This window comes from Homo sapiens, chromosome 12 (assembly GCF_000001405.40).
Source record: "Homo sapiens chromosome 12, GRCh38.p14 Primary Assembly".
Taxonomy (NCBI): domain Eukaryota; kingdom Metazoa; phylum Chordata; class Mammalia; order Primates; family Hominidae; genus Homo; species Homo sapiens.
In genome coordinates this window covers 99,708,724-99,720,757 of record NC_000012.12, presented here as the reverse complement: position 1 = coordinate 99,720,757, position 12,034 = coordinate 99,708,724, and the positions used below count along the sequence as shown (strand labels likewise).

Genomic DNA, 12,034 nt, shown 5'->3' with positions numbered 1-12,034 from the left:
TTTTGGGGCACAGTCCAAGTTGGTCTGGTGTCTGGAATGAGACTGGGGCCTAATAAAAAGGAGCGTCCATACAGGAGCTCCAATGGGCTGTACCTTGCAGCATTCCGAGGATAGGCCTGAATTCTGAGAAAAGAAAGAGGTAAAAGTATTGTCCAGTCCTTTTTAAGTTGGTGGCTGAGATTGGTGAGGTGTGTTTTTAAAAGACCATTAGTCCGTTCTACCTTTCCTGAAGACTGAGGACTGTAAGGGAAATAAAGGTTTAACTGAATACCAAGAGCCTGAAAAACTGCTTGGCTGATTTGACTAATAAAGGCTGGTCTGCTATTGGACTGTATAGAGGTGGGAAGGCTAAACTGAGGAATTATGTCTGACAGAAGGAAAGAAATGACTGCGGTGGCCTTCTTAGACCCCGTAGGAAAGGCCTCTACCCATCCAGTGAAAGTGTCTACACAGACTAAGAGATATTTTAGTTTTCTGACTCGGGGCATGTGAGTAAAGTCAATTTGCCAGTCCTGGGCAGGGGCAAATCCCCGAGCTTGATGTATGGGAAAGGGAGGAGGCCTGAACAATCCCTGAAGGGTAGTAGAATAGCAGATAGAACACTGAGAAGTGCTTTCCTTGAGGATAGATTTCTATGATGGAAAGGAAATGAGAGGTTCTAAGAGATGGGCTAGTGGCTTGTAACCTACATGGAAGAGGTTATGAAATGACGACAGAATAGAATGGGCCTGTGAGGCTGGAAGGAGATATGTTCCTTGGTCTAAGAACCATTTGCCTTGTGTGGGAAGAGATTGATAAGTGGAAGTTTCAGCGGGGGAGTAGGTGGGAGTGGCCAGATGAGAAGGAGAAAAACTGAAAGTGAGGGGTATAAGTTGGAATGCTAGCTGCTTTTTTAGCTATCTTATCAGTATGAGCATTGTCCTGAGCGATGGGATCTGATGCCCTTTGATGGCCTTTGCAGTGAATGACTCTAGCTTCCTTTGGAAGTAAAGCAGCTTTGAGAAGCGTTTTTATTAAAGAGGCATTAATGATAGAGGACCCTTGTGTAGTGAGGAAACCTCTCGCATGGTGGTGCAGAATATGGAAGGCATATTTAGAGTCAGTATAAATATTGACTTTTAGTGCTTTTGCAAGAGTGAGGGCTTAAGGCAATGAGTTCGGCTTGCTGAGAGGTAGTGGAGGGGGGCAGAGCAGTAGCCTCAATAATAGATGTGGAAGATACTATAGCATAGCCTGCCTTTGCTGGTGAGTGGCGATTAGGCCTGGTGGAACTGCCGTCAATAAACCAAGTGTGTTCAGGGTGAGGAACATGAAAGAATATGGGAAAATGGAGTGAATGTCAGGTGGATCAGAGAGATACAGTCATGGGGGTCAGGTGTGGTATCAGGAATAATGTGGGAGGCTGGATTGAAGTCTGGGCCAGGAACAATGGTAATTGTGGGAGACTCAACAAAGAGTGAGTACAGCTGAAGGAGCCGGGAAACAGAAAGTATATGTGTCAGGTGTGAGGAAGAAAATAGATTTTAGAAGTTATGAGAACTGTAGAGAGTGAGTTGAGCATAGTTTGTGATTTTAAGGGCCTCTAAAAGTATTAAAGCAGCGGCAGCCGCTGCACGCAGACATGAGGGCTAGGCTAAAACAGTAAGGTCAAGTTGTTTGGACAGAAAGGCTACAGGGTGCAGTCCTGGCTCTTCTGTAAGAATTCTGACTGCACTAACCATGCCTAGGAAGGAAAGGAGTTGTTGTTTTGTAAGGGATTGAGGTTTGGGAGATTAGTCGGACACAATCAGCAGGGAGAGCACGTGTGTGTTTTTATAAGAATTATGCCAAGATTGGTAACAGATGAGGATGAAACTTGGTCTTGACTGAAGTAATGGGGGCTGTCTGTGAAGCCTTGTGGCAGTACAGCCCAGGTAATTTGCTGAGCCTGATGGGTGTCAGGGTCAGTCTAAGTGAAAGCGAAGAAAGGCTGGGATGAAGGGTGCAAAGGCATAGTAAAGAAAGCATGTTTGAGATCCAGAACAGAATAATGGGTTGTTGAGGGAGGTATTGAAGATAGGAGAGTATATGGGTTTGGCACCATGGGGTGGATAGGCAAAACAATTTGGTTGATAAGGCGCAGATCCTGAACTAACTTGTAAGGCTTGTCTGGTTCTAGGACAGGTAAAATAGGGGAATTGTAAGGAGAGTTTATAGGCTTTAAAAGCCCATGCTGTAACAGGCCAGTGATAACAGGCTTTAATCCTTTTAAAGCATGCTGTGGGATGGGATATCGGCATTGAGCGGGGTAAGAGTGATTAGGTTTTAGTGAGATGGTGAGGGGTGCATGATCAGTCGCCAAGGAGGGAGTAGAGGTATCTTATACTTGTGGGTTAAGGTGGGGGGATACAAGAGGAGGACGCAAAGGAGGCTTTGGATTGGGAAGAAGGGTGGCAATGAGATACAGCTGTAGTCCAGGAATAGTCAGGGAAGCAGATAATTTAGTTAAATGTCTCGGCCTAATAAGGGAACTGGGCAGGTGGGGATAACTAAAAAGGAGTGCTTAAAAGAGTATTGTCGGCTGGGCGCGGTGGCTCACGCCTGTAATCCCAGCACTTTGGGAAGCAGAGGCGGGCGGATCACGAGGTCAGATCGAGACCATCCTGGCTAACATGGTGAAACCCCGTCTCTACTAAAAATACAAAAAATTAGCCGGGCGTGGTAGCGGGCGCCTGTAGTCCCAGCTACTCGGGAGGCTGAGGCAGGAGAATGGCGTGAACCCGGGAGGCGGAGCTTGCAGTGAGCCGAGATCGCGCCACTGCACTCCAGCCTGGGCGACAGAGCGAGACTCCGTCTCAAAAAAAAAAAAAAAAAAAAAAGAGTATTGTCTAAGTTGGCACCAGAGTTGGGGAGTTTTAAGAGGTTTAGAAGCCTGGCCGTCACTACCCACAACAGTTTGGAGGCAAGGGAAACAGGCCTTGAAAAGAAGGTAATGTGGAGTGGGTAGCCTCCGTATTGATTAAGAAGGGGACGGACTTACCTTCCACTGTGAGAGTTACTTAAAGCTCGGCGTCCGTGATGGTCTAGGGGGCTTCCAAGGCGATCGGGCAGTGTCAGTCTTCAGCCACTAAGCCGAGAAGATCTGGGAAGGAGTCAGTCAGAGAGCCTTGGGCCAGAGTTCCAGGGGCTCTGGGAGTGGCTGCCAGGTGAGTTGAACAGTCCAATTTTCAGTGGGGTCCCACACAGATGGGACGCGGCTTAGGAGGAATCCCGGGCTGTGGGCATTCCTTGGCCTGGTGGCCAGATTTCTGGCACTTGTAGCAAGCTCCTGGGGGAGGCGGGCCTGGAGGAACACCTGGCCACTGCGGTTTAGGCGTTTGGAAGTTCTTGTATGCTGGAGATGTGGCTGGGGTTTGTCTCACAGTGGAGGCAAGGAATTGTAACTCAGAAATATGTTGCTACTTGGCTGCCTCTACCCTATTATTGTACACCTTGAAGGAGAGGTTAATTAAGTCCTGTTGTGGGGTTTGAGGGCCGGAATTTAATTTTTGGAGTTTTATTTAATGTTGGGAGCAGATTGGGTAATAAGATGTATATTGAGAATAAGACAGCCTTTTGACCTTTTAGGGTCCAGGGCTGTAAAGCATCTCAGGGTTGCTGCCAAACGAGCCATGAACTGGGCTGAGTTTTTATATTTGATGAAAAAGAGCCTAAATGCTATCTGATTTGGGATAAAGAAAAAGGAGCATTAACTTTGACTATGCCTTTAGCTCCAGCCACCTTTTTAAGAGTAAATTGCTGGGCAGGTGGGTGAGGGCTAGTCACGGAATGAAACTGTAAGCTGGACCAGGTGTGAGGAAGGGAGGTGATAAAAGGATTATAGGGTGGAGAAGCAGAGGCTGAGGAAGAATTGGGACCTAGCTCGGCCTGGCGAGGAGGGGAGAGGTCAGATGGGTCTGTAGAAAAGGAAGATTAGAAAGACTCAGCGACGCTTGGGGTTGGGACTGAGGGGACAGGCGGGAGGGAAAGAAGGAAGATTTGGGACGATTTGCATTGGGAACAGAGACTAGGAAGGGACTGATGTGTGAAAGAATGCCTGGATGTCAGGCACCTCAGACCGTTTGCCCATTTTACGACAAGAATTATTTAGATCTCGTAGGATGGAAAAATTGAAAGTGCCATTTTCTGGCTATTTGGAATCACTGTTGAGTTTGTATTGGGGTCAAGCGGCATTGCAGAAGAAAATAAGGCATTTAGGTTTTAGGTCAGGTGTGAGTTGAAGAGGTTTTAAGTTCTTGAGAACACAGGCTAAGGGAGAAGAAGGAGTAATGGAGGGTGGAAGGTTGCCCATAGTGAAGGAGGCAAGCCCAGAGAAAAGAGAGAGTAGGGACATGGAGGGAAGAGGTTCGGAGGTTCTTACCCTCCAGAAAAGTGGGAAAGGTGTCGGGGCGCCAAAATAAGGGGTTGGGGTGCAGAGATAAGAGGTCGGGGTGTGGAAATAAGGGATCGGGGCGCAGAGATAAGAGGTCAGGGCATGGAAATAAGGAATTGGGGTGCAGAGATAAGAGGTCAGGGCATGGAAATAAGGGATCGGGGCACAGAGATAAGAGGTCGGGGCACGGAAATAAGGGATCGGGGGGTTCTTGCACCCCAGAAAAGCAGAGAAGGGGTAGAGACAGGGAGAGAAGGGGTTGTGGTTTTTGCCCCTCCCCCAGAAAAGCGGGACTTGCTGCTAAGGGTGAAGGACCGAGGCAGGCATCCCTGCGTGGTCAGACACCTCTGAAACGTGGGTAAATGGAGAGGCGTCCCTGCAATGATTAAACATGAAGGGAAGGCTGGCTTCCCAAGTCTGTGACTGATGCCTGAGTTTTGGGTCCACGGATAAAATGTGTCTTCTTTGTTTCTACCAGAAAATGAAAGCAATTGAAATTAAGAGAAGGGAGAGATTGAAGGGTGGTGCCAAGATTGAAAAGAGAAAGTGGTTGAGGGATAGTGAGAGAGGTTGGAGAAGAGAGTAAGAAGAGGCTGCTTACCCGATTTAAAATTGGTGAGATGTTCCTTGGGCTGATGGGTCTGAGGACCCGAGGTCATAGGTGGATCTTTTTCACGGAGCAAAGAGCAGGAGGACAGGGGATTGATCTCCCAAGGGATCTCCAAGGGTCCCCTGATCCGAGTCACGGCACCAAATTTCATGCGCATCCGTGTGAAGAGACCACCAAACTGGCTTTGTGTGAGCAATAAAGCTTTTAATCACCTGGGTGCAGGCGGGCTGAGTCCGAAAAGAGTCAGCGAAGGGAGATAGGGGTGGGGCCGTTTTATAAGATTTGGGTAGGTAAAGGAAAATTACAGTCAAAGGGGAATTGTTCTCTGGTGGGCAGGAGTTGGGGGTCACAAGGTGCTCAGTAGGGGAGCTTTTGAGTCAGGATGAGCCAGGAGAAGGAATTTCACAAGACAATGTCATCAGTTAAGGCAGGAACAGGCCATTTTCACTTCTTTTATGGTGGAATGTCATCAGTTAAGGCAGGAACTGGCCATCTGGATGTGTACGTGCAGGTTACAGGGGATATGATGGCTTAGCTTGGGCTCGAGGCCTGACACCAAGCTTAATCATTTGTAGCTTTTTATTTATTTATTTATTATTTTTTATTTTTAGATGGACTCTTGCTCTGTTGCCTAGTCTGAAGTTCAGTGGTGCAATCTCTGCTTATTGCAACCCCCGCCTCCCAGGTTCAAGCTATTCTCCTGCCTTAGCCTCCCGAGTAGCTGGGATTACAGGAACCTGCCACCATGCCCAGCTAATTTTTTTTTTTTTTTGTATTTTTAATAGAGATGGGATTTCACTATGTTGGCCAGGCTGGTCTCGAACTCCTGAGCTCAAGTGATCTGTCTGCCTTGGCTTCCCAAAGTGCTGGGATTACAGGTAGAACCACTGCACTGGGCCTGTAGTTTTTGATTTAAAATGAGATGTATGACTCTTCTTTTCACTGGAACAGTAGAAGCCATTATAGGGTTATTTATCAGTCTAATTTCAATATTATTGTGTCTCAGGAACTAGGAGGCCCAAGGAGAAAGAACAAGACAGGGCAAAGGCTGGTTGGTGGAGCAGTCAGAACACATACAACATTTATTGATTAAATTCACCATTCTATGTGATAGTGGATCATGGTGCCTCAAGTGATTACAGTAGTAACATCAAAGGTCACTGATCACAAATCACCACAAAAAATATAATAATAATAAAAAACTTGAAATATTGTGAGAATTATCAAAATGTGACACCAAGCCATGAGGTGAGCACATGCTGTTGGAAAAATGGTGCTGATAGGCTTGCTCCATGCAGGGTTGTGACAAAACTTCAATCTGTAAAAAGGCAATATGTGCAAAGAGCAATAAAGCAAAGCACAATAAAATGAGGTATGACTACATAGCAAAAAGGGCTTCACAGGTGATTAAGTTAATGTTCTTGAGATTATCCTGGATTACTTCTGTGGGTCCAGACAAATCACAAGGGTTCTTATGAGAAGAAGGCATGAGGGGTAGTGTCATAAAAAGCAATGCCATGACAGAAGCAGAGGGAGAGAAAGAGATGTGATGACAGAAGCGGAGATCCAAGTGATGTAGCCATGAGCCATGGAATGCGGGCGGCCTTTTGAAGCTGGGAAAGGCAAGGAATGGATCCTTCCCTAAAGTATCCATAAGGAATGAAGATTATGACACTTTAATTTTAGTCATGTAAGACTCATAAATGTCAGTACATTTCAAAATCTATTTTAGATTTCTAACCTCCAGAAAAAGAAGATAAATGTGCATTGTTTCAAGCCACTAAGTTAGTGAGAATTTATTGGAGCAGAAGTAGGAAGCTAACATAGATTTGGAAGTGAGGTTATGCGCTAACAAATACCTAAAAATGTGGTTGTGATTTCCAGTGGGAAGAGGCTGGAAGAATGTTGAGGAGCATGATAGAAAAGCCTAGATTTCTGTGAACAGATTGCTAGTGGAAATATAGATACTAAGGACTCTGCTAGTAAGGGCTCAGAAGGAAGTGAGGAACATAATAGAGAAAAATTAAATTGTCTTAGAGAATATTAAAGCTATTATAAATAAACTATAGAAATAGGAATACTAAAGGAACTCCTCATAATGGCCCAGATGGAATTAAGGGTTCTTTGTTATTTGGTGGCAGAAGACTCAGCAGAATTTTGTTCTGCAGTCATGTGGGAAATAGAATTTCTAAGCCATGAGCGTGGAGATTTAGCCGAGGAAATTTGCTTGGAAATCCAAGCAAACTGTTGAAAATGTGGCTTGGTTTCTTGTTTCTTATAGTAAAATGTGAGAGGAAAGACATAGATTAAGGGAAGAACTGTTAAACAAAAAGGAACTAGGACTTGATAATTTAGGAAATTCTCAGTCTATTCAGCTTTCAAAAACTGCTAAAGTTAGAAGATTTGATTACAAGAAAGTATGCTCTGGAGAGAATGCCAAAGGTTTGGCTGAGCAGTCTTTTGCTTGTGCCTTGGAACGATTTTAGATAAGGTCAGTATTTTAATCACACAGAAAAGTGTTTGAAAAGATTAAGTATATGACTCATGGATCCCCTCACAGATCTCAATAGGAGCCAGGAATAAAAATGGGATTATCCTGCATATATTTGTGGAAGAGCCTCTTGTTTGATGGATTTACTCCCTGTAACATGTGTGGGAGACCCACAAAGTTTTTGAGAATGTTGTATCAGCAGAAACACTGCCAGCTTGGACTGAAAGAGACAGAGAAAGAACAAAATGATAGAAGTTTGTTTGACTTCCAAAATTCTCCAGTTAGAAAACAGGCTAATAAAATAACTCAGGTTTAGACACATTACCCTTCATGAAAAGAAGGATAACTCTGAGGTCATGGCAGAGCCACGGGCCCAGAGGATGGACCCTCCAGCCACAGAGGATTATTCCTGGGTTTTGAAACATGATAGAATTTTCCCAGTTGGATTGCAAAATGTCATGGGAATAGTGACCCCTTTTTCCCCTTCTATTTTCTCCCAATGAGAATGTCTATATTGATTATCTTATGCCTGTGCCACCATTGTACTTTTTGATCTGATAACTTATTTTCTAGCTTCACAGATCCACAGATGGAGAGGTATTTTTCTCCAGGATAGATTATATCCAGAGCCTCACCCATAGATCCTTTAGATGATAAGGTTTGGGACTTTTAAGCTGATGAGATTTAGATGGTATTTTGTATTTGAATGTATGTTATAAGGGGTTGAGACTATTGGGGCCCTTGCCCTCTTCTCATTACCTTGTCTGACTCTGACCCTTTTTTCCTTCTTTAAGGACTCTTGTGATTACATTGGGTCTATCCAGATAATCCATAATAATCTCTCACTCTCAGGAACCTTAATTGTAGCTTCATAGGTCCATTTGTGATGTGTGTTTATGGTAAAATATTCACAGGTTCTGGTTATTAGGATGTAGCCATCCTGAAAGGGCTATTATTCAGCCTATCATAAACCCCACATGAAACAACCTATTTTGTCTGCATCCCCAAGGTCTTGAATTTTATATGGAGGAAATCAAGACATACTTTTCAAGTAAAGATAAAAATAATATGTTGTTCCCCTCTGTGTGTCCATGCATTCTCATCATTCAGCTCCCACTTGTAAGTGCGAACAGGCAATGTTTGGTTTTCTGTTCTTGCATTAGTTTGCTAAGGATAATGGCCTCCAGCTCCAGCCATGTCCCTGCAAAGGACATGATCTCATTATTTTTTATGACTGGATAGTATTCCATGGTGTATAGGTAGCATATTTTCTTTATCCAGTCTATCATTGATGGGCATTTAGTTTGATTCCATGTCTTTGCTTTTGTGAATAGTGCTGTAATGAACACATGTGTGCATGTCTTTATGACAGAATGATTTATATTCCTCTCAGTATATATGCAGTAATGGGATTACTGGGTTGAATTGTATTTCTGTCTTTAGATCTTTGAGGAATTTCCACACTGTCTTCCACAATGGTTGAACTAATTTTACATTCCCACCAACTGTGTATAAATGTTCCCTTTTCTCTGCAACCTTGACAGCATCTATTTTTTTGACTTTTTAATAATAGCCATTCTGATTGGTGCGAGATGGTATCTCATTGTGGTTTTGATTTGCATTTCTCTAATGATCATTGATATTGAGCTTTTTTTCATATGCTTGTTGGCCACAGGTATATCTTCTTTAGGAAAGTGTTCACGTTCTTTGCCCACTTTTAAATGTGGTTGTTTGCTCTTTTTTGTCATTTTGTTTAAGTCATAGAGGGAAACAACATACACTGGGACCTATCAGAGGGTGGAGGCTGGAAGGGTGGAGAGGATCAGGAAAAATAACTAATGAGTACTAGACTTAGTACCTGGGTGACAAAATAATCTGTACAATAAACCCACATCACACAAATTTACCTATATAACAAACTTGCATATGAACCATGAACTTAAAAGTTAAAAAAATTAAAACTGTGATGTGCAGTACAAACTAAAAAAAAGATAAAAGTAATAACATTAGCATGGTGCATTCCAGTTTATAAGGTGATTTTATCAGAATGAAAAGTAATAACATTAGCACCTTGCATTCCAGTTTATAAGGTGATTTTATTCTAATGATGTTAGTTTTGTTCTTAGTTGACCTCTTTTTGATTTATTATAGATACAAATCCAATCAGAGCTGGAAAAGTGAAATAAGGAAGTTGGATAGATTCTGTTGGACTGGGCTTTGGCTGCAGGAGTTGAGGGAGAGGGTCTTTGGTGATTCCTGGGTTTTTCAGCCTGGGTGATAGGAGGAGTTGAGAGATTATTTAAAAAAAGGAATTAACACAAAGCAAACTGAATTATAATGGAAAGAGTTGAGGGAAAATGATTAATCAGTTAAGCTCAAATATATGGGCTTTTGTTAATTATATGCTCCCCTGAGGGATACAGTTATGAGTGGCATTTATCTCAGGTTGTTTTGGGTCTATATAGGTCTAAAGGAACATATGTAAATAAACGGAAATGCAAACAGGAACTTTGGGAAGCAATTCTTACTTTCATTGTATTTTCAGCTGTTCATAGATATTGACTAAAAAGGACCAGAGATATATTCTTCTCTATGATAAAGGCAAAGTATGAAAGGATGCCTATAAATAAGGAAAGGAATTTTTGCTACTGAAGGTATTATAAAGAAAAAACCACATTGACTCTCAGTCCTTCGTTTCATGACATGTCTTACCTAATTCATTTCCCCCACAAAACATATGTTCACAATACATAGACTTGAGATCTCAGTGAAGTCTTGGCCTGGATTCGCCCTGTCTTAATCTATCTCTTTTATCCCATAAACTATAGGTTACTCAAGCAGACTCAGAACACCAACAGCTATTTCTTTAATTATCCTTGGAGGCATGGACCCTAAAGCTGTGGTTTTATCAAAGAATTATGTATATCTTGATGGTATCACTTTCAGTTTTATTCCAGTTAGTGAGCTGCAAATGAATATCCCATTATTGACAAAGATTAATGGTTTAAAGTCAAGAGGAATTCTAATGAAATGACAATCTTGTCTTCTTTATGGTACAGATGTTTTCCCATTGTAGCAATGACTCAGATTCCTGTTGGATCAAGTTTTTAACAGTCATTTCTATAGTGGCATGAGCTGGAAAATTAGATCTCAGTAAAATCAGCTTTAGAAAGTAGATACTATAATACGGAAAATGAATGAGCCCCATTATGGAAAATCTATGCAATTAATCTCTGTTCATTTAAAGGTATAAGGCTACATCTGAGGATGAAGTAAGAAATTGGGCTTGGTTGTCAAACCCATTTTATGGGGAGAAGTGATACCATGAATACTCTGTGCCCAGGTAAGTGATGGAGGGTCAAAGCAGTGAAATAGGAATCAGAAGTAGAAACATTATTTGCTTAGAGTTATGTATTGTGATGTCATCACTAAATGGGGCCCAGCACACTGTTTTGCAGTCATTATGACCTACCACTATAGTCAGCTGGTGCAGTGTGTGATAATGTTGTTCCCCTTGTCTCATTCCTTTTTTCCCCAGAGCTCTTCTGAAAGAACCATTGTGTTTTCTTGACTCTTGACCTCTCCTATATCTGCTCTAACATGCTAAAACCCCATTATGGATATTTAGATTTCAAAAAATGTGGGTCTAGCTATACCACTTGCTAGCTGGCAAACTTGGAAAAGTTACCTAATCCTCTCTGGGTATTATTATCTTCTTTTAATACCTGCAGCATCTGTTGTCGTGAGCCTTAATTAACATTAAAATTTGTAAAACCTGTAACTCTGTACCTGAAACATAGTAGCCATTTAATAAAAGTTAGTTCCTTCTCCTCTCAACATCCCACACACCTTCAAACATGGTTACACCCTCAGGTGTCAGAGCAACTGCTTCAAAATCTGCTCAGAGTCTTTTGAATTAAAATTGCCTGATGCTTACTGAAGTACATTCCAGCACCCATAGTTGTTATAGTGTGAATCATTCCATGAGTACAGCATGCAGGTATCATTAGAATTCTTTAAGTGTTCACTTTTAGTATACCTTTATCCAATCTCCTGACCCTCACAAGCTTGCGTGTGCTTATGTGTGCATGTGTGCGTGCACACACACACAGCAGTATTCATGAGATTGCCAAGATAATATTGACCCACTAAAATCTGCTCTTTAGTTTTTTTACATTATGTTTACCAAGAGAAATGGCTCAAAAATTTCCCAGAACAATTAATAAAGTGTTTAGGAGTCAAAATACTATTGATTTTCAATCTCTAATTAATTTACATTTATTGTATTTTAGATGGCTTTGTATATGAGTAATAAACTCTTTACCACAGACGAACAGCTTCCAATTAAAACATTTATGAGACAGGACCTGTGGTATGCTGAATAATAGCTCCCAAAAATATCCAGGTTGGAATTCCTGGAAACTGTGAATGTTACCTTTTATAGCAAAAGAGCCTTTGCAGATGTGATGTGAATTAGGATTTTGAGATATGGAAATAATTCTGGGTTATCTGGGTGGACCCT

General features: G+C 42.2%; 1 protein-coding gene across 21 annotated transcripts in view; it reads left to right on the top strand.

The window, feature by feature from the left end:
- Window positions 1-12,034, top strand: part of ANKS1B (ankyrin repeat and sterile alpha motif domain containing 1B) — a 1,250,151-nt gene that overhangs the window by 264,179 nt on the left and 973,938 nt on the right. Inside the window, exon 1 of one of the 21 annotated variants that reach the window (XM_047429166.1) lies at window positions 10,764-10,855. The exons of the other annotated variants lie outside the window; for them this stretch is intronic. The gene's annotated coding sequence lies outside the window, so the exon portion shown is untranslated. Of the gene's footprint in view, window positions 1-10,763; window positions 10,856-12,034 lie in introns of those variants that run through there. 21 annotated transcript variants of the gene reach the window in all.